At 44.6% G+C, this 23715-nt stretch overlaps 1 protein-coding gene across 3 annotated transcripts in view; it reads right to left on the reverse strand.

Moving 5' to 3' along the window:
• Positions 1 to 23715, reverse strand: part of SLIT3 (slit guidance ligand 3) — a 639400-nt gene that overhangs the window by 394184 nt on the left and 221501 nt on the right. The gene's annotated exons all lie outside the window — the stretch shown is intronic.

The following is a 23715-nucleotide window of genomic DNA, read 5'->3' on the forward strand; positions in this document are numbered from 1 at the left end:
TTAAGAATTTTATTCTACATACAATGGTAAACCAGAGAAGACAGGCTTGAGCAAGAGGCATAACATGATCTGACTTTGGTTCTCAAAAGACCACCCTGGCTTGTCCTTGAATATAGATTATAGAGGGGCAGAGTGGAGTCTGGGAGTCTGGTTAGGCAGGTTTTGTAGAAGTCCAGGAACAAGATGAAGGGGCTCGGAGGAGGCAGTGGAGTGGGGGTATAAAATCTTCTCCTCTCAGGTAAAAGCATTATGCAGAAGGGAGGTCTCAGTAGGTTTGGAACCTTTGCTATCAGCAGTCAAACCCTCATTTTTTCATAAGCTCAGTGGATGAGGACAGGGTGCCGACTTGATTCACAGGCCTTGTGGATTCTTGGCTGGGCAGGTTTCCCAGCAAGAAAAATTGTAGAGTCCAAAAGATTCCTCAATTATTATGCCAGTTTTTGTTCCTTCTGCAGTCCATTAAATATATATGTTTACGCATACTTACATGACCATCTGCTGCCTTCCCAAACCACCTTTGCAGAGGCCCAGGCATAACTGATTTGTCTTTTCAATGAACACTGTTGAGTGATTTTGACACCACATTGCCATCGATAGGTTTGACTTACAAATTATTTAGTGCTTATAATGGATCGTTGGCCACCTTCCAGACATTCATAGCTGGCGATCTCTTAAAAAAAAAAAAAGATTAAATGAAGTTCGTAGTGACTTCAGCATTAAATGCTGGCTTCCAGGATTCATGCCTATTTGAGGCAGAATTCCTACTGTTCCTGCAGCTGTGGATTTCATCGTTTCTACTTTATAATCACTTTAAGAGACAAGGGAGCAGATTGGCGGAGCTGACGGTGCCCTGTGGCTGACTTCACAGTCCCATGGAGGAAAAGAGAGCCCTAGCAGGGGAGGTGGCCCAGGGCCACAGAAAGAATACTCTTACAGAGTCCAAACGCTCACATGTTCTTCTTGACTATGCCCCCCACAAGCTGTGTGACCTTGCTGGGTCTCTTAACCTCTCTGAGCCTCATTTTCTCAGCTGTAAAGTAAGAAAATGCTATCTGCCTTACCTGTCTCCATAATGACAAGAGCAGGCATGTTGTAAGTGAAATAAATGGTGTCAATATATTTTCTGATATATTTCACTTTTTGTGGTAAGCAAGATCTTCCATCTATGTCCTATCTGCCATTAAGGCCACATTGAGGTTTGATATTCCAAGAAAGGAATGGGTAGGTAGCTCCCACATGTGACCTAGGGAAGTTGAGAAGGAGGGTCTAACATAGTGATAAGTTATCTTAAACAAGAAGGGAAAAGCATGCTCTTCTGAACCACAGGGGAGAAATTCAGAGTGGATGAGACTTAGGGGAGAGGGGAAGATGTCCAGTTCCCCCACAACCCTGAGCTGAGGTCTGGAAAGATGGGTCAAAGAAACTGGGAAGAGGCTGTACAAAGTCCCTTCCCTTTTCTGGAAGCCCGCTTTGCTTAGTGGCCTGGCACCAGCATGGGGCAGCCAGGTGAGCCCAGAAATGCTGGTATGGTGAGGTTAAGCAGAGAGAATCCAGAAATAGAGTGCAAAAGCAGCGTCTGAAAGTGCCCATAAGCTCCCAGAGGGGGATGTAGAGGGTGGCTAAGAATAGGGAGTCAGAGGCTCTACTAGGAAGCAGGCGTGCGAGGACCTCTCAGTAGAAGCAGAGAAAGGGATATGCTGGGGTCTGGACACGGCACTGGCCGAATGTGGAAGGGCAGAAGGTGGAGTAGGGTTATCATGACTCCCCACGGTGCCAGAAGAAGGGACCACAGCACCCTCAGCCATAGACTGGGGTGAGAAAGGATGCACCAGCACATGATAAGGCTCACACTCCACACTCCACCCTGCTATGTGGGGCGACCTCTGTGACTTCTTGGTTAAGAAAATGAGGAGTGCCCCTGAAATGCTGAGCATTCACCCCAAAAAGGCCACTTAAGCAAAAAGACACAGCTTTCTTTTATGGGGAAGGTGTAGAGTTTTCTCCCTTCTCTTTTGGCTGATAGAGGCTTAAGATCAAGATGAAATCAGCTATAGAAAATACCCAGGGACCCTGGTTGCTTGCCCCAGCATGTAGTGAGTTATTAAACCATCGACCCCACCCTGTAAGGTATAAAGCATGGAATTTCCTACAGTGTCAAATGAGACGAGCGCTATTGCAGATGCAGGGACTGCTGTGTTCTTGCACGGAAGGTCTTCTCACGTGACTTCTCAGATGTTCTGCCTATTAAAAGCTACCATCAGACCGCTTCTCCCCGAGCCTTGTGACATCCACTGTGTTAATGCCATGCGGCAAAGTGCAGATGCAAATACCATCACAGCCTTTCTCCCCACTAGTATTCCAACACCGATTCTTTGTCCACCTGCTTGCTTACTGTGCTGCTTAGGGTTCCGGGAGGGCCACCAAACAAGGGAAGCCAGGAAGGTGAGTATGGTTTCCATTGGAAAGGCTTAGTTAGAAAGAAACTAGATCTGAAAGGTAAGAACGCAGGTCAAGGAGGCAAGAGCGGCTCAGGACACATTTGGAGGGATATTTGGGAGAAGCTGGGGAACAGGGGCCTGCTGCCTGATATATGAGATATAGAAAAAATTCAGAGAAAGCTTGTTGTGTTTTATGAATGAAATCCTGCACTTTAAGTTTTGAGAAGCTGTTTTAAATATTGAGATCATGTCACAGTGTCAAAAGCATTCCTTGTGGCTGCTGGTCTGTGGTTCTGTCTGAATGCTTTCCTGTGAGGGGACAGGATGTGAAGCAGTTTGGCTTTCTATGGATTGCATTCATTTCTAATCTGTTTCCTACTCTGGATATACCACACCTTGGTAAGTAAGTCCTCTACTTCTTTCTCCTTTGATGAAATCTAAATGGAAGGCTGAGATCAGAAGAAAGAATAAGATGCCTCAGGTTTGGAAAATGCATCTCTCAGGAGAAGGACTTCCTGTTGCTCTAGAGAGTATCAAGGAAGAGCAACAGAATATTCCAGGCCAGGAAGCCACCATGTTGGGCACCTTTGCACAAACCAAACATAGTAAGGACGTTGCAGTGTCCAAAGCCAGGGACCCAAATGCTGGAGAGTTTGCCAAGGGAGCTGAGAAGCCCTGAATTGGAGGGTTTATTTTCAAGCATGAGCTCCAAGAACACTTGCTTTCATCCTTCAGCTGGTGCCAAGGGAGCTAATCGCCAGCTCTAGGCATCCTTTGACTTCTTGGTAGAGTCACTGTCAGAATCCTCCTGACAAACAGAAGCCTGCAATTTCTTTGGCTGTGAAGACCAAAAGAGAAGACCACAGAGATTCTATGGAAGACACCAAGTGAAAAAAGGCACTGTCCCCCCTCTAGGAGCAAAGTGGGGCAGAGACAGGGAGCTCACCGTTCACACATACTCCAGAATGAGGATAACAACAAAAGCCGCATTCTTTAAGCACCAGGCACTGTCCCAGGCTCTTTGTAAGCCTTACCCATTCAATCCTACAGCACAGCCTGCCAGGTGGGAGTAGGATCCCCACTTTATCCAGACATCAAGTCGTTTACCTGAGTTGCACTGCCAGAAAGTAGAAGGGCAGTGATTTGAACCCAATGCTCTCGGTCCCAAAGCCCCTTATCCATGTCTACACTGTAGAAGCCTCAAACGGGCCTCTTCCAGCCCACACATGTAATTAGCATGCCCAGCACAACATTAAAAACAAATTTTTAAAATGGTTGCCAACATTTTAAAGATGTGAGATTTCACCTTTAAAAACTAAATGTCTGACTTGGCTTAAAATAAAATGAAAAGGCCTGAGTCTACCAGTCCCACGTTGCCACGAGGCCCAGCAGGTTGAAGGCTGAGGAGGAGCTGCCCTTTGAAGGGGAACAGACTCCATTTGGCTGGGGCTATGGTCTGAATGTTTGAGTTCCCCTCAAATTCATATATTGAAATTCTAATGCCCAAAGTGATATGTTAAGAGGCAGGGCCTTTGGGAGATGATTAGGTCATGAGGCAGAGCCTTTTTGAATGAGATTAGTGCCCTTATAAAAAGAGACCCTAGAGAGCTCTTTCATCCTTTTTTGGCCATGTGAGGACACAGAAAGAAGCCAGCCATCTGCAGCCCAGAATAATGGCCCTCCCCAGAACCTGACCACACTGGCATCCTGATCTGGAACTTCCAGTGTCTAGAACTGTTTGAAATAGGCCACGCGCAGCGGCTCATGGCTGTAATCCCAGCCCTTTGGGAGGCCAAGGCCGGTGAATCATCTGAAGTCAGGAGCTCAAGACCAGCTTGGTCAACACGGTGAAACCCTGTCTCTACTAAAAATACAAAGATTAGCTGGGTGTGGTGGCACACACACCTGTAGTCCCAGCTACTTGGGAGGCTGAGGCAGGAGAATCACTTGAACCCAGGAGGTAGAGGTTGCAGTGAGCCAAGATCGCACCATTGTACTCCAGCCTGGGTGACAGAGCAAGACTCCATCTCAAACAAACAAACAAACAAACAAACAAAAAACACTGAGAAATAAATTTTGTTGCTTATGAACTACCCAGTCTATATCAGCCCAAATGGACTAAGACAGCTGCTTCAGTCACTCAGGTAACCTGCACAGCACTGTGGGCATGTGAGTTTTCTAATCTTGTGTATTGCTTTATGTCACCACTTCCCTGGAGATGAGCTGCAACTGGGGTGTGAGCGTCATTAGCTGGGAGTCTGCATCAGGCTCTATGTCTCCTCTTCTCTATTGCACCAAGTGACACAGGGTTAGCCCCTGCTCCTGGGGGAATTTCAGCCTAAGGCTGACCAGGAGCAGAGCTCAGGCAGAGAAGTTCTATGAACAACAGGATGAGAGAATGCTCATTGGGCTGAGTGGAGCAGTGTCCATACCGGGTCTGAGTCCACTTGAAGCTGGGTTTAGAAAAATGAATGGCTGTCCAAGTGCCTCTGGGAAAATCATGGCCCCTCTAGCTGTCTGCTCATGCTGAATCTCTTTTCCAATCTAAATGGGACCTTTAGTGGTATCCACAGGGGCTGTGGGGTCAGAGTCAACAGGACTCAAGTCCTGTGCAGTTGCTTCCTAAGCTGGGTGTTTTTGAGCAACTTTGTCACCTCCCTGCACCCCGGTTTCCTTATTGCAAAGCATGAATATAAATAGAATCTACCTTGTTGGGATGCTGTGGGTGTTCAATTAAATAATCCACTAGCACGGTTCTAGAATAAATATTTAATAAACAGAAGCAATACTTACATTTTCCCATGAATGTTTTCTTCCTGGCTGACTTAGAGGGATTTTCAACTTAGCCAGGGTGGAAAATGACCCTTTACTATGGTGTCACTGGGCTCTCTTCAGCAGTTTGGTCCAAGGGACCAGGGAGAGTGAAGCTCTGACCGATGTCTCTCTGTGCTGGAAGATGCTGTGCAGGTGGCTGGATGTTGACTAGAGGCCTTCCCTGGACCAGAACCCAGGTTTGCTTGCCCCTCAGGTCTGTATTCACTCTTCATAATTCTCCCCTCAATCAGCCATAACTATGAACGCTATTCTTAGGCAGAGGCCCAATAGCTGCCCCTCGGCTCCCTACAATCCACCCATGGTTCTGATCGCAAAGCATCTTGTTATCACCCAAGGCGAGGACTGGTGGAGAGACACATCTGCGTGGCACCTAATGCCTGGCCCATCTCTACCTGACCTTACTACAAGGGCTCTAACTGAGCCATGCCCAGTTAGATGCAGGGAAGGTCCAGGCTAGCTTTGTTTCTGTTGTATAAGCCATGCACGATGCAGCGCAAGGATGCATGAGGGCCTGGACTAGGACAACGATGAAGCCAGCATCGCTGGGATGCTTCCAGCCCTTCCTGGGAAAATGCTGGATCATCATTCATCTCAGATCATGACGGATACCCTCAGAAACAATCCCCTCCCCTCCAGCTGGAGGTGAAGATCATGATGATAGAATCATTCCCCACCCCACTCCCTACCCTCTGGGGCCAGAAAGGGAACCAGAGAGACTGAGTCTATCCCACTGCCTTGGGGACAGTTAGAATTTACGCCACCCCAATCGTGAGGTCAGGAGATCGAGACCATCCTGGCTAACATGGTGAAACCCCGTCTCTACTAAAAACACAAAAAATTAGACGGGCGTGGTGGTGGGTGCCTGCAGTCCCAGCTACTCGGGAGGCTGAGACAGGAGAATGGTGTGAACCCAGGAGGCAGAGCTGGCAGTGAGCCGAGATCACGCCACTGCACTCCAGCCTGGGCGACAGAGCGAGACTCTGTCTCAGCAAAAAAATAAATACATAAATAAAAAATAAAGAATTTATACCATCCCAGAAAGAACTCTAGACAGTTAATTTGACAGGCATTCACCACTCACCCTTCTAAGCAGAATCTCTAGTGACATAAGATAAATCTACCCCATTTGTTTAGTGCTTATTAAGGCTTTGGGTGCCACATGAATGCTACATAGACACCCAGGAATAGACCTGGTAACGACTTAATCCTTCTCCTTACCTTCATAGTGTAGGCAAGGACTCATCATCTTTGAGTTCCTGCCTTGGCCCTAGAAGGCCTGGCCTCTGCCTTCTTCTCTGATTTTATCTGTCCACTTCCTCTGCCCTCACTCACTGTGCTCCAGGTGACTTTCTGTCCCTTCCACTTTCCACGCCTGTCCTATCTTCTTGCTCCTGCCGTTAGATACTAGTGTATCATCCTATTGCATTGTCTTCCTATTTTACACTTTGTGGAAACTATTTCATTTACTCATGTGTTTGGTTTGTATGGTCTCTCTCCTCAAAACAGTGTAAATTCCATAAGAGCACAGATTCTGCCTGTTAGGTTTCTTTACCCATGAGTCCCCCTGGCTCAGAGTTGGGTCCAGTAAGTTGTTGTGACCATCATTTCCCCCTTCATGTTCCTTCCCTGCCTTTCCCATATGGAGAAATTCTCAAAGTAGCTGGGGAAGAAAAAGACCTTTAACCAAGAATGACAGGAATGTCCAGGAAGGTGAACAGCACCAGCAAGAGGCTGTGTGTGCAAGTGTGTATAAACCTGTTCAAAATCAAGCCTTTTCTAAGATGTTTCTCACATTTTGTAATATAAACTGTTCTTGTTTGAACTGTTTTCGAAATGTACCTGTTGGTGCATTTGGGTGCATTTGCTGGTCTGCCAAGCTTAACCACGAAGCTTGGATAAATTAGCACATTGTCAGCTGTAAATACCTAGAGGGACGAAGTTTGTAATCATAAGTGCCAATTGAGCCCCCGTGCCAGCCCTGCACAGAGGACCATGACTGGCCTTAATGCCGGCTGCATGAGGGTCAGTGCATGATTCAGGGCAGACTTTCAGGGTCAGTCCTGAATTCGTCAGTTATTTGCTTTGATTGCTTCTTACAGGCTTGCCCCTTGATAGCCATGAGACCCAGCGCTGGAAGGAGGGGCTGGAAGTTTCCTTCCTACCAGGACCAGATGATCCCATTCAGCATTCCTTCTCTTAAATGTCTCTACCCCTTCAATCCTTCCCACATTCCCTCGATTCTCTTGTGGCTGACAGGAAGGGTAGGGACAGATTTCCTGGAACTGAGGCTCCCAAGCCCTGCTGCTTTCTGACCCGCCTCGGGGGCACACCCCTCTGGTCTTTACACCCTGCTGGGGATTACTTGCTCCACAATCTATTCCACCTGTGGCCACAATTGACTTCCTCCCGTGTGCGTGAGTGAGAAACAGGGAGATCCTAGTGAAAGTTTTATGTGTGTGATGCGGACACCATAAATCAGGACCCTGGCAGTATTTAAATCTGTGAAATGCAAAGGGAATTTAAATAACAAGTCAGCCACACAGGCAGGTGGCCCCTGAAGCTCCGGAATGTTCATCTCGCGCTAACAGCTTGCACATTTATATTATGGTACGAGAAGCACTGAGCAGAAGGAGTGGAAGGTGTTAACAACTACTGCAAAATATTTCCTTAAGGATACATTTCCTCCATTTCCTCTCAACATAAATTCTGACAACACAAATGCCGTATTTATGCATGAAATCATGTATCTGGGAGGACTGCTTTTAATTTATAGAATGATTTGAAAAAGCAGTCCTTTAATCTATACCGGGAGTAGTTGGTTAATATGATGTAATTAGCAGGGTAAATTATTTTCAAAAGGGAAGGGCTTAAGGCCTGAAACCAGCCCATTACAAATGAACACCTTTCCATTCTGCTTGGTGCCAGAAAATTGGATTCTGTTGCTCTCCTTTAAACAGATAAACAGATGCTCTTTCTGGAATTATTAAAACCCTGTGACCCACCTCTGACTTCCTGAAAGGACTCTAACTGAAGTCGGGAGGGGAGGCAAGGGACAGAACAAACATTCTTTGCCTGCTTGAAGTATTCTTGGCTCCGAGCCACTGCCTCTTAATTCTTTGGGTGGTTGAAATGGAAACTTGTCTTCTCTGATTTAGTCCAATAAAAGCAATGGCGGTCACATTGGTGAATGCCCACTATGTGTGAGGCCCTATAATATGCCAGTATTTTTAGATATGATCTTATTTGCCACTCACAAGACCCAGCATGAGTATTGTCCTTTTTCTTTTTTCCTCACAGAGATGGAAACTGAGGCCAGGGATGTAAAATGACTTGTTTTAGGTTACATAGCTGGAAACTAACAGAGCCAAAATTTGAACCCAGGTTCTTCTGCTGCCAAATTTCACACACTTCACATGCAATAACTGGCTGTATGATGAGTGTTACGGCTTCCCGTGCCATAAGTCTCTTGTGACTGCAGCTACAAGAAAGGTCAGTCCGGCTCTTCTCTGTGCATCTTCTGTCCCGAGACACTGGATTTCCTTCAATATTGATTCAATTCTAGGAGCACTATGTTCTAGGGATTTGCTGTTGATGAATCCTTTTGAATATTTCATATAGACTCCCAGAACGTTACACCTATGAGGGACCAAAGAGATTTTCCAGCCCGACCTCCTCATTTTAATGAAACGGAAATAAGAGCTTCAGAGGACTTTTCCCTGGCAGTTTCGAAACTAGAACCCAGCCTAATTGCTTGCCTTGACACAAAGAGTTCTGACCTTTCATTCCCACTATTTAATTTTATCCTCAAAACTTTGCCTTTGAGGAAGGTATGGAAATTATTAGTATGGTCCTTGAAGAACCAGAAGCACAGAGGAGACAAGTTCATATGGTTAAACAGTCATATGTCATATTAGTGGAAAGGTGCAAAGCGAAACCTGCAGATACCACCTAAAATGCTCAGAGGATTCCTTAGAGAATCTTAGATGTGCATATAAAGTAAGACCAGTGCCCTTTTCAAACCTGCTTCAAACGCAGTCACTGCTGCCCTCCAACTGTCTGATGAACATTCAGTATTCACCTTGGTGGCAGCTACCGTCTAGTGTATCACACAGCCTGCTAGAATAAAAAAAAGAATGATAGAAGAAATATTCCCCATTTGATGCCAAATGGTTAATATGGAAGCCATCACACAGAGCAGAGCCCAAGGTCCATGTCAAAGTCCTTGTAAATCCATTCCCCTCCACTTGGGCGGCCCCTCTGAAGTGTTTGTAGAGTTGAGCCCACGTCCTGGTGTCCCCAGAAGTTCTATACTTGTCTCTCTGGGGAATGAATGGGAGGAGCCTGGCCATCAAGACAGTCCTCTTTTAAACTTGACCTTTGTCTTCGTCACATCAGACATCCTGCTCATTGCTAAGGAATGTGAAGGCCCTGTCACCCTCCCAAAGGCATCCTTGGGTCCTGGGAGCACTGCTATTCCCATGCCACTGTGGGGCAACGAGGGCAAGATCTCTGCAAATCCTCCCGGATAGCCCATTCCATAGGAGCTGGAAGGCTTCTTCCCAACATAGCATGCACCCCTGCTTCTCTGTCCCTTCAGCAAAGAGGGAGGAACAGAGGGTGAGGGAGACCTTTATGATTCCATCAAGGCTACTTTAAAGTAACACGTTTGAGTAGAAAATTAGGTATCATACATATAGTCTCTTAAATATCTCTTAATGGCTGCCATCCTTGTGCCAGGTACTATGTTTCATGAACTTCATCACATTTGTTACTAGCAAAAAGTGTGCAAGGCAGGTGTCATTCCAGTTGACAGATGAAGAAACTGAGCCTCAGAGAGGTGCGGTAACCTGGCCCAAGCTCACAAAGCTAGTAAATGGCAAATCCAGGACTCAAACACAGTCTAACTAAAATAATGCAAATACAACCATAGCTGGCACTAAAATGTAAAAACTATTTTTGAGCAGTCTGGAATTTGTTAAATTATATTCTGACTGCAGTGGTACCATTGCAGTGCTACCATTACATTTCTCCAGTCCCAAGCCCAGGGTCAATCCTATCTTCCCCTTTAGTATGAGGTAATACAGACAGTAAGTGGGGAAAATTATTTTTGGTAAAGTAGGACCATCTGAATCCTTCAAAAGATAATCACACCAAAATTAACATCACAGCCCAAAATGGGCAAAGAACAAGAGGAGGCAATCTGCAAAATAAGAAATTCAAATGGCCAACATATGCATGAAAAAACGCTCAACTTACAAGACCAAAAAAAGTGCAAATTAAATCAACCACCATTCCCTGTGCCTTGAAACCTAGGAAAATAATTAATGATAACAATGATAATTCCCAGTGTTGGACAACATATGAAGAAGTAATCAATCCTCATACCCTGCTAGTGGAAGTTTACTTTGCTCCATTTTTCTAGAAGGCAATTTGGTACTATATAGCAAAAGCATTAACATTCTCCACTCCCTTTGACCGGCATGTAAAGTTTTCGCCCAAGGAAATCATCATGGTATACTCAAATATTTTTTTAAAAAGGATATTAATTGAAATGTTGCTTACAATATAATACAAGTCTTAAAATCATCTGAATTGTCCAACAAAAGGCAGAGATTAATAAGTTATGGTACATTTATATAATGACCTACTTGGCTGAACTTAAGAAATGATTTTGTGGAAGACAATTTAATGACATGGAAAAACATTCATGATATATTGCTAAGGCAACACCATGATCCCTTTCCTGAAAAAAAAAAAAAAAAAAAAGACAAGACATACATGCCTAAAGACAAGAAGAACAAACACACAATATTGGTAATAAAACTAATTGTGATTATTATTCGCTTCCTGTTAGTCATTTTCAAAAATTTCCACCATGACATCTTTGTTTATTCTTATATTCTTAAAAAGGTAAAGAATGACGGACGAATTGGCCGGGTACAGTGGCTCATGTTTGTAATCCCAGCACTTTGGGAGGCTGAGGTGGGTGGATCACCTGAGGTCAGGAGTTTGGGACCAGCCTGGCTAACATGTTAAAACCCTGTCTCTACTAAAAATACAAAAATTAGGCATGGTGGCACACAACTGTAGTCCCAGCTACTCAGGAGGCTGAGGCAGGAGAATTGCTTGAACCTGGGAAGCAGAAGTTGCAGTGAGCAGAGATCACACCATTGCACTTCAGCCTGGCCATCTCAGCGAGACTCCACCTCAAAAAAAAATAAAACAACAACAAAAAAGAATGAAGAATAATTACCCCACATAGGCAGTGTGGTTCCTGGGACAATCCATCCATCTCTGTGCCTCCACGGCAAAAGGCTGGGAGGCTGAGAAGTGGATGCTGCAAGTTTGATTCTCAGTCCAATGCTGATGTTGCGGAGCCTCTGAATGAGCCTTTTGCAGCTCATAAACCTCCTGCTACTTGGGCATCCTGACTTATGCCGTGACTAGTGACCTAAAGATACTTGGGGAGATATTCCAGTTGGGTTAAAATTTGAGACATCAGAGGAGTGAAATGGAGGGTGTTTCAAGCAGCACCACACAGAGCATCAAGACACAGGCTCTGACAGCTGGCACTTTCTGTCCCTTGTGCCTTCCTATGTCTGCAGGCTTCCCAGCCTCCAACTCAAAATAGCTGCTCTGCTATGCACAGCAAAGAAAAAGAGACAGGCTTAGGCCAGCGGCTGCTAACGCTCAGGGCATCAAACTGGGCTGGCACACTTGAGGAAAATTATTTAGTTATGATAATTATTAGCTGCTTTTAATCACAATAATGAACTAATACAGCAGTACTTATGCTTGGGAAAGTCAAAGAGGATCCATTAAAAATCTAATTAAAAGCCAGTCCTTAAGAAGAATCATGGCTTATTTATCTCTCTATTAGGTAATATAAACTAGTGAACTGTGCAGCTTGGAAATTTTCCACCAGTCAAGCTGATAAGCACTATTCCCCTCTCAGTTGTAAAAGTACAATAAATCTGCTGTAAGGGAACTCTCACTATGTTTTAAGAAGACAGATGAGGGAAGAAAAAAGAGAGGAAGAGAAAGAAAAAAATGTTAATATAACATTTCTTCACTTATATCTCGCCATTTTCCAAAAAATATATGAAACAAGTATAGAAAAATGTATGAAGAGCAGTCTGTTGGTAAATAGACTTTGGGAAATAGACTGGTTAAGAATTTTTCACCCGTTAGCCAGGTATCGAGCTAGGTGCTGAGGTAAAGAGACTAAGTATAGGAGAATAATGTAGATCACTAAGACGAAGCCTGGGGCCAAGTCAGAACACCATGTTGATCACCAGAGGGTTTCGTTTAAGATGGGCTGCATATTATACTCAGCTTCCTAGTGGCCAAAGCAAAGAGAGAAAATTTCCAAACATAGCACTCATTTTATAGAAATATAATCCTTTCTGGCAACTCAGGGTTGACAGAAAATTCTTCAGTGAATCCTGAAAAGGACAATGTTCCCAACAATGCATGTAGGCCAACCCCCAGCAAGTTTCAGGATGGCTTCTTGTGACATCTCTGGGCTCAAGCATGCACTAAGCACACACAACACAACCCACCCAGCTGGAGAAGCTCTGCCACAGTGCCTTTATCATACTCATTACGGGAAAAACCCTCTTAAATATCCACATTTTAAAAGCCTCAAAAAAAAAATGCAGAATCCTTTTATTATGATCCCATAGGAAAAGTTTACCTTCTAAAGTAGTGGTGACTTAGTGGCAATTAAATTTCAATTAATATATTTATTGGGTGTTTCTTTTAGGTCTTTACAACACATAGAATAAATAAGTGGATAGGCATGAACCCTACCACAATCAAGTAGAAGGTACAGCTAGGAAATAACAAAGCAATGGCTGCCCTTTATTGAAGAGCAAAGATGTAGACTATGTGCTTTATGCAAATTATCTCAGTTAATCCTTGCAACAATCCTTAGAGGTGATAACAATGACCACCCCCAATTTACAGTTGAGGAAAGTGAGTTTGGCACATATTAAGGGGGCACACAACTCCTCAGTGCCTGAGAGGGGTCTGGAGTGCCAGTCTGACTCCAGAGACCGTCCATTGCTGCTGGGTACCACCTTCCAGGTGCTCCCATTTCACAGTCGAGAGAGGAGTGACATGCACACGACAGGTGAAATATGAGGAAGAGGAACTGCCTTGGAGGGCCCTAGAATGCATGTCCCAGGAGATCACCGTCACAGTCCTTTTAGGGTCAGAGTTCAATCCCATTTGTTCCACAGGCAGGGAGGCAGGCAGGCTGTGAGCACTTCCCATGTGCAGGCCCTCTGCAATTCACTAGAGAGAGAGGGCCCTACCCTGGGTGCCGAGGGAACTCAGACCTATAGGAGTGGTCCCCTAGAGGCATGCCCAGGGGTCTCTGGGAGCACTGGACACTTAGCACACTCTATGTGCGGTAAGGTTATCACAAGGTTATGACAGGTAGAGGCAATATTATGTGCAAATGTTTATACATCATGACCCACTGGGGATCACCAAGAGGTTTGGTATGAGGAGAGGAAGTAGGGGAGGGAGAGAGGGGAGGTAGGGAGGTGGACAGACAGACAGACAGACAGAGTGAATATGAAGCAAATGGAGTGTGGTGAGTGTGTACACCATGAGAACAGAGAAGCAGGCAGGCACCAGACCAGACCACAGAGGAACACATGCAATGATGAGAGTCTGGGTAGTGGGGAACCCTCGGAAAGATCTTCAGATGTTAAGTGGAGTCAAGTCAAGCTCCAATGGAGGTTTCAGAAAGGTTACTCCACGTGCAGTGCAGAGGATGGTGGGATGCAGATAGGACAGCTGTAATAGCCCATGCACAAGGTGACAGCAGTGGGAAGAGAAAAGGAAATGAAAAGTGATATTTGGAAGGTAGGATTGGTCTGATTAGATTTTGGGTAAAAGGGAAGGTTGAGCAGAATCCTAGGGAGCTGGCTGAAAGGTGACAGGCAATACAGAGAAAGGGGGACTCAGGGGACTTCAACAGGTGGTATTGTGGGGTTTGCAGTATGTTCGAGTGATGTGTCCTTGAAGTAACTGGATGTTTCTGGGATTGAAGGGGCATCCTGGGGAATCCAAGTAATGGACTGGGTGGAGATTTCCTCTGGAGAGGCTGCTGCTATCATTAAGTTCCAGTGTAAATGTCTAACTCCAGTTCTGGCCCAGATGAAGAGAAACTTTTTGATGACCACACACTCTGTATTGGGTAGAATCTCAGGCTGTCTCTTGTCACTGACTGTATGTTGCAAAGAGGGCTAAAATCTGAGGTTTCAGCTAAAACTCTCACCAGGGAAAAGCAAAAGGCAAACTTGAACTAATTACTCTGCCAGTCGAGATGACCTTTAGAAACAAGTTTGAACTTTTGTCAGCGTGTTATCGGTATTTCCATCAGGAAGTATTTCAACCAGCTAATGTTTGCCAACTGGGAGGACCAAGTGTTCGGTTCAGCATCAGGGTTTCTGTGCTAATCTGACCTTCCAAGGTATTTAAAGATGCAAAGGCCAGATTCACCACTTGAGTTCCCAAATCTATGGGTGTTGAATTCCATAGTGCTGTCTACCAACATTTGCCTAGACTTGCTCTCTACATTTTCCTCAAAAAAAAAAAAAAAAAAGAAACAAAAAACAAAAACAAAAAACAAAAGCCTGAAGCCCTAACTTCCAAATTAACCTTAAAAAAACATTTAGAATCACATGTTGCTGAGCCACTTTAACCGTCATCAACCTTTAACCTTAAAAGGAAGCATCCATAGAGGTTAGCTACTTGGTCCTTGGAGACAGAATACTGACTTTGAATCCTGGCTTCCCCACCTCCTAGCTGTGGGACCTTGGGCAGGTACTCAAACCTGCCTCAGTTTTCCCATCTGTAAAATGTAAGAGAACTTACTTCACAGGTAACATAATTAAGAGGCTATATGCCCTGAGTCTTGAGACTGTGCTTGTTACAGGCTGTGATTTGTGGTTAGTTTTTGATAAGTGGGGTTATCACGATCAAAACACCTTTTTACACTTAATCCCCCAGAAAGTGCCATGTTGGCTTCAGTCCCTGAATGGGGCTCATGTAATGAACACAAAACCAGGGACTATGCTTGTTTTTCTTCTTCTTTATAAACAGAAGCAACCAATAAAATCATTTCTCCACAGCCTAGTGCCTTCAACTATATTTCTCTAAGAAGTAGCAGCAGGAGAAATCTAGAGTTTAATTAAACTCTTATTTTGGGCAAAATAAAGAGGAGAAAGAGCGTTTGAGGGAAAGGTAGTTCATAAAACACTGATTACTGTGGTGGAGGGCACCCAGAGCGATAAATGACTATAGTGGAAAAATGTATTATGAGAGCTTTTTCTCACTCTGGAAGTTTCTTTCCTGGTTTCAGCCCCTCTAATGAAGCTGTGCTCCATATTTCCTCCCAGCAATGCCAGCCTCCACTTCAGGGGAGTTTTTGTGGCAGTCCTTTGACATGGAATCTTTACTGTGTGCAAGTGTAGAATCCAAGTCGTGGTTGCAATGGAAACTGCCTGGCGGTCCCTTTCCACCACATAGACCTTGTGTTCTTGAGTTACCACAATGACTGCTTGGCCTCTTGTTCAGGAAATAGCCACTCTTGCCTTATCAATTCCTTGTGCGAGTGGTTAGGAGGGTGGGATGAGTGGGCAGGGCAGAGGGATTGGGTCATTTTGGTTAGAGGAAGAAGGGGAGAAAGGATAGGTTCAAGACTCTTGGAACGTCACAGAGAGACAGTAGAAGGTAACAAAAGCTCCCTTTGATGTTGCTTGGATGTAAGTTGGCTTGAGTTGGAACTAGAACAATAGCTCAGCTTTGATCCCCAAATAGCCAAAGCATCCTTTATGTATGAGAATGACCACATCCAGATTCCAAAACCAGTTAGGGGGAGAGGAAGATGGTCCCCACATGCAAGTATTGCATCAAATAGAGGGGTCTTCCTGCAGTGATGGAGGTATGGGGGTATGGTGGTGATGGTGGTAGTGTCCATGCATGTAAGAGTGTTCCAGGGAGCAGCAGAGAATAATGATAAGCTTGAAAAACTTGAAAATGCACTGGCATCAGACTGGGAGACAGGAGACTTGAGATTTATCTTCAATGTACTACTTTGTGACCTTAGAGAAGTCACATAAGCTTTCTGAACCCTAGATGCCTCATCTGTCAAATGAGGCAAATAAATATCTGCTAGTCCTTCCCCAATGGGTGGAGAGGAGCAAATGACTTCAGGCATGGATGACTCTGCACAAAGGCAACTCTCACATTATTCATTCCAGGTCTCTCCAGCTCCAAAGGGACTGTGAGGAAGGGTTAGTACAAATGAAGATGTGACTTATTCAAGGCTGAAGAGTCTCAGGTGGATCAAACAGAGCCACCATGCAAGTACTGGATCTAGCCTGCCTGAACACATTTTATCATCATTTTGACATAGCCACCCATGGAGGAGGTTAGGGATGTTTCTAGACTTCAGCTGGGCAGGGTCAGCATAGAACAGTAGGGGCCCAGCCACGGAAGACAGAAGCCATACCAGATCTTCTGCACGGCTGGAGGCACTGGCCAGAGTAATCCTTTGGGCAGCCTTATGCCAAATCCTGGTCTGAGCATCTGGGAGCTCTTCCTGCCACCTTTAGTCACTCTCAGTCTCCAACACCTTCCTTCTTGCAAAGCAGCATTTGACTCTGCAGGAGACCCAACTGTTGCTGTAAAGGTTGCCCGCCACTTGCTGAAATACCAGCAGCCTCCACAGCAGATCCCAGCCTACCTCAAATATGTGGGTAGCTTCAGGTGGCCAGAGACTCATCCAATAATTACAGCACATTCATTTAATATTTATTGGTAAGTGCTCACACAACGCAGGGAGAGTGCAAATCGTGAATCCTTCAGGCCAGATCCTTCAGGTCCCTTGTGATGCTTTTCTTTGAAGGCTCCTTTTCATACACCGCCACCTCTCTTTTCCCAGTGCCTTCCTGTTACTTGGTTTCTCCATGTAACAAGGGAGGGGAGAGACCTTAATATCCTAATTCTCATGTACTTCCAGAGGCATTAGCACATTAAAAGAGTAAGAGGACAATCCTTAGCCCCGCAGGATGAACACCTGGTGGTCCAGTTGGTCAGTTGGGCCTTGGATATACAATAATCACACCATGCTGCACAAGGTTCAATCTTACACAAGCCCTCATCCTCATCAACAGCCTCCTCTGTCATTCGTTCTCATCTTTGGTACTGCACCTCCTTCTTCCAACATTTGGGGAATTCTCCATTCTCTGGGTCTTGGTGGGAGGCAAAGTCGTCTTCTACAGTAGAATCAGACAATGTCAGTGATGTGATTTGGATGTTTGTCCCCTCCAAATCTCATGTTGAATGTGATCTCCAATGTTGGAGGTGGGGCCTAGTGGGAGGCGTTTGGGTCATGGAGGTTGATCCCTCATGAATGTCTTGGTGCTATTCCCATGGTAATGGGTGAGTTCTTGCCCTGAGTTTACCTGAGAGCTGGCGGTTTAAAAGAGCCTGGCACCTCCCCACAACCTTGCTTCTTCTCTTGCCATGTGATGTGAAGGCTCCCCCTTCACCTTCTGCAATGATTGTAAACTCCCTGAGGCCCTCACCAAAAGCAGATGCTTGCACCACACTTCCTGTACAGCCTGCAGAACTGTGCACAAAAATAAACCTCTTTTATTTCCTAACCTCAGGAATTCCTTTAGTGCAATGCAGCTGGACAATACAGACAGATGTGTGCTTTCCCAGACTCTCTTGCAGTAAGGGGAGGGACACACCATTGATATTTTATCAATCAGACAGAATAGTACCGCAAGGGAATAAGGAGTGAATTCCTCAAAGAAGTGGGGATTTGGAAAAATCCTTTCTAGAGACAGCAGCTGGTTGAACAAGATTAAGTTCTGGGGCAGTGGTGGATGGAGGGAGCAGTAGTTTTCAGAGCCCCAGGTGGATGATGTCTAACATGTACCCTATAATCTCTGGAGCTGGGTAGGGGCAACAGTGTTACCCTCACAGGGCAAGTCTCCACTGTATTTTGGGTATTGTTGCTAGCTGGGTGGTCTCCAGGTCTCATTTTCCAGCTCTCAGAGAAATTCTGTAGGTCACCCAATATCATTTTTAACGCATTCCTTTTCTGCTTAAATCAGCTAAGTCAGATTCTGTGGCTTGAGTGTGTATCCTGAGTGATACAACTCAGGTATAAATGACATTAATAATAACAGTAGTAGTAATAATAATGATGATGATAGCTAGCATTATGGAGTGTTTCTACCTTCTATGCACTGTCCCAAAAGTTTTTCAATTAATAACTCATGTATTCCTAAAACACATCCTATGAAGTAACCATCAGAAACCCAATTTTACAGTTGAGGGAGTAAAAGCTCGGAGAGGTGAGTACCTTTCTGAAGGTCTCAAGTTTCACCTTTTCCTTCTGCTGCCTCCTAAGATGCAGACTTAAGTATGGATTTCAAAATTAAAGTCAGCATACCAGGGACTCATAACTCTGGCTCCTTTGTGTTTGGATCTAGGGTGAACATTTTTACGGGGAAACATTTACACTTCCCAGCAGGACCAAACTGTGGCCGTGGCCTTGTTTCTTGGTCAGCCTTGTTGCAAACAGCTGAAGCAAGACCTGAGGGTGGGACAAGGCCCCCAAGGGCTCCTGTGGCTCCAGAGCCACCTGAGGGCTTTGGAGCCTTAGGACAAGCTAACTGCTGGGAAGACAGAAGGTGCACTCTGGAAATGTCACCGCTGACCTCTTAATCACCATCCTGTGATTGAATTAATTAGGCTGAGAGCTCTGCTATTGAGCTGTTCTCACATCTGGAGTAGTTTTACAATGCAGGAAACTGATCACAGAAGGCCAACTGTCAAGAAGGAGAGTCAGATATAAACATAATACATCACCGAGAGACTCTGCTTATGGCTGGGTCATGATTCGTAACCTGGGAGTGATTGATTGTCTTCTCCTTGTTCTAATTTTGGACCAGACATTTTGGGATGATGGTGGGGTTTGACATTTTAGTCATCTTTTCTTATTCTACAAGAAAGTCTAAGTAATCGTGACTAGGGTAAGAAGGGGAGGAAAGAGGGGATCTGTTGATGCCAGGATTTTTGCATGTATTTTTCCTGAAGCAACAACAATAAAGTACATACGTAGGGAAATAAAGTGTCTGCATCAGGACTGAGTGAGGACCTGGAGCTTTCTCTGCTGGTGTGTTTTGGTGCTGTGGTGTCTGTGTCTCTAAATCCTGGAATAAAAGCTGTATTCGAAAATATCGTGAAGTTGAAGGCATTTTGTTAAGAAACACTTGCTTCTAAAACTCAGAGTGAGGAAAGTGTTTACCTAAATTTTAGCTATGCTGGAGTGGGCTGTATAAGAGCTTTCTTCAAGGAAATTTGTGATGGGTTGCCTGAGCCTGGTTCAAGCCCAGCAACATTCTAGGTGGAAGCAAAAGAGAGACTTGGCTTCTTATATGCAGATAGAACAATGGAGAAAAGAAAATGATGAACCACAGCACACTCTTCAGAGAATTCCCATTGCCTTTCATGCAAAATCCTACATGATCTGGCTCTTCTGTGCTTCTCTTTCGGATTTCATCTAGTACTTTCTCCAGCCATGCTAGTAAAGGCAGACCTTCTGTCTATCTATCTACATAGTTTGTCTGTCTGTCTATCTACTTACCTACCAACCTAGTTTGTCTCTGCAGGCTTAAATAAAGCCAATACCTGCCAGAAGAGTTGGGGGACAGAATCTACATCTTGGGGAGGGGTGATAAGCTCAATTCCCAGTCTCTTTGAGAATCTGCAATGTGGTGAGAGGTGTTAAGGGAAGTTTCCTTAACAAGCTGAGCCCCTCTGTTCTCTGTATGAGAGTGAAGGTGGCCCACCAAGGGCAGGACCCTCAGGGGGGTTTCATTCTGGAGAAGATGGGCCTGGTGGTGACTCCTGTCCTTGGTCTGGCACTGGCCAAAGTGAGTTGCTGGGGGATCACAGGAAGGAAGATGCATTGACTTTTCCCCAGTAGTTCATAAAGAGTGCTATTCAAAAGCCAAGGAATTGAGGGCCTTTTCAGACTTAAAAGAGATCAGAGAGACCATATATTAGCACTAGAGATTGTTCAGGAGGCTGTGATTATAACCCAGGGCTGCTATGTAATGGGCATTCAGTAAATATTAGTAAAATGAGTGACTTCCCCAAGTTTCACAGCAAGAAAAGCAGCACTAGAGCTTCCCTCTCCATCTCCCTGCCTCCTTTCTTCCACTATCTTTGCCTTGTCTCTACCCTCATTTCTCTCTCCTTTCCCCCTTCTCCCTACCTCTCTCTCTCTAGCTTGCTAAAACTTCTTTTTATAGAACAGGAAAGAAATTGTCAAAATGGATTTCTTTTTTTTCTGATCTCATACTTACTTTAAGAGGAGAGAGAGGGTGGAAGAAATTTGTCTTGAGAGCCTGAGAGAGACAGGGAACATTTTATAACTCAGTTTTTGGAAATTCTAGTCCTTGAAAACTCTAGAACTGGTTGTAGGATGTGGGTGAATATAACCTTTCCCAAGAATATTCTTTTTAAATTTAAAGACTTGAGCTAAGCAGAAATAGAATCTAGTTCAATTCATCGAGTACAGGACTTGACAGTCAATCAAGTGCTACTCAGTTGATGAGACTTGGGACAACTAAGTACTTAGGATATAATAAAAATATGCCCCAATTTTATACAACTCTCACACACACAAAAATCCCTCTCTCTCATACACACACGCACACACACACATACACACACACACACCCTAGAGGGATAAACAGTTGACCCTTGAACAACACAGGTTTGAACTACCTGGGATCACTTGTATGTGGATTTTCTTCTGCTTCTGTCCCCCTGAGACAGCAAGAACAAACTCTCCTCTTCTTCCTCCTCTCTAGCCTACTCCATGTGAGGAGGACAAGGATGAAGACCTTTATGGTGATCCATTTCCATTTAATGAATTGTAAGTATATTTTCTCTTCCTTGTGTTTTTCCTAATAATTTTCTTTTCTCTAGTTTATTGTAAGAATACAGTATGTAGGCCGGGCGCGGTGGCTCACACCTGTAATCCCAGCACTTTGGGAGGCTGAGGCGGGCGGATCACAAGGTCAGGAGTTCAAGACCAGCCTGGCCAAGATGGTGAAAACCCGTCTCTACTGAAAAAATACAAAAAATTAGCCTGGTGCAGTGGCTGGTGCCTGTAATCCCAGCTACTTGGGAAGCTGAGGCAGGAGAATCACTTGAACTCAGAGGGCGGAGGTTGCAGTGAGCCGAGATCACACCACTGCACTCCAGCCTGGGTGACAGAGTGAGACCCCGTCTCAAAAAAACAAAAAACAAAAAACAAAAAACAGTAATACATATAAAATATCTGTTCATTAACTGTTTATGTTATCAGTAAGGCTTCTGATCAACATTAGGCTATTAGTAGCTAAGTTTTCGGGGAGTCAAAAGTTAAACAGAGATTTTTGACTGTGTGGGGGGTCACCACCCCAAACCCCTGTGTTGTTCAAGGGTCAATGTATATCAAAATGTCACGGAGAGATGGGTTATCACTTGATGGGCTTATATGTGTTTTCTACATTTTCCAAAATTTCCAGAATAAATGTCCACAACTTCTTCAATTACTAAAAAAAAAAAAAAAAAGTGTCATTGTAAAAAAATATTATTTTAAAAAATAGCAACACTTTTTAAGTTTCCTTTTTTAAGGCTGTGTCTCTACACACAGCCAGTTTGTTGCCTGCCTTGCCAAGTTCATTGACAACCACAATCTCCAACCCATACAGGATCAAGATTCAGCTTGAGTCTGTGCATTGGAGAATCCTAGGAAACCTTGCTTTACTTTCTAGGGGCATGATCTGGGGCCTTGTGTTCATTTTGCTTCACCCACAGGGATCACATGCTGTGCCTACCCACTCCTGACCTCAACCACCCACTGCTTCAATTTCAACACATCAGGTTACAAATACAGGGTTCATCGATAAGGGGCTTATGTCCAAATGCAATGTCTCCCCAGGCCCAAGTCCAACGCAAACCAGCCAAAAGATTCCCTGGCTTCCTATTCTCCTTTCTACGCTCTGTTTCTGGTTTCCTCTCCACCTTCAGGTTTCATGTCGTTTTGTACCTAAGGCATGTCAGGAACTCTGGGGGCTGCCTTCACAAATATATTTCTCCTTGGATACCCACCACCGATAAAGTGAAGATTTGTATTCCCATCTTACTGAAGAGGAACCTGAGGTTCAGAGTAGTCAAATGACCAAGCAGAAATCACAGACCCGGTGGGGAATAAAAGGCCAGTCTCCCGCAAACCCAGCACCCTTCCTACTTCACCAACTTCACTCATTTCCTTGTTTTCCTTGTTACTCTCCAGCTTCTCCCTCCTATCACCTTCCTTTCTTTACCCTTCATCTTCATCCTTCTAAGAAATATGTCTAAAATCAGAAAAAATGAGCACTAATGAAAATAACTGTGCTAGGAGCTTTTGCACACAATATCTCAATACATAATTTCAGCTACTCAGTGTGGTAGGTGATATGTATTCATTCCAATATTTATTGAACACTGATGGTGTGGCAGATATCATACCAGACACGCCAAGTGAAATAAGGAAAACAAACCCAATTCCTGTCCTCAAGGAGCTGTAGTCTAGGAAATATTCCTATTATTTGTTTTCAAAAAGAAATAAACTAAGACTTGGAGGAATTAATTAGTTTTTTAAATGCCATAGTTCAAACTCAAAATCCTTTATCACACTGGATTTTAAGCTTTCTCATGGCACAGAATTCTGGAGGAGATTGGAAAAAAAAATTGCTTCCTAAAATTCAGTCTCTGCCTTTAGCTCCCTAAACAAGAAAGAAGAGAAGGCGAGACAGAGACAGTGACAGAGACAGAAAAGCAGATCCTTGGCTACTCATCCTGCCGTATCTCAAGGCAATGAATCACTGATGAATTCTTTCCTTTTCTATCTGGGAGAAAAAATGCTTTAAGGAGCCCCAAGTTTTCAGGCCAGGGTTTGTCCAGGTGGTGTGTAACCCACAGAATCAAAGGGATGAGGCTGTTGTTCCACACCTGCCTGCTTTCAGCTCTCTTTTGTTTTCAGATCTTATAGTTCTAGCTAAACAAAGAAGTTCTCCTTCTCATCCTTGGTCTCCAGGCAGAGAAAATGTCAAGTTCATCAGCTGAAACGAAAACTCCCACTGTCCAGGCTAAGAGACCAGGGTCAGGGATGGGATCCCAAACTTTGAGGTGGAAGATGGAGAAAGGGTGGGGGAGGAGGGGGGGAGGGAGGAGGAGGAAGGAGGAGAGGGAGGAGGAAGGAGGAGGAGGAAGAAGGAGGAAGAAGGAGGAGGAGGAAGGAGGAGGAGAGAAGGGGAGGAGGAGGAGGGAGGAGGAGGAGGAAGGAGGAGAGAAGAGGAGGAGGGAA

The sequence above is a fragment of the Homo sapiens genome, chromosome 5, assembly GCF_000001405.40.
Source record: "Homo sapiens chromosome 5, GRCh38.p14 Primary Assembly".
In the NCBI taxonomy this organism is placed as follows: domain Eukaryota; kingdom Metazoa; phylum Chordata; class Mammalia; order Primates; family Hominidae; genus Homo; species Homo sapiens.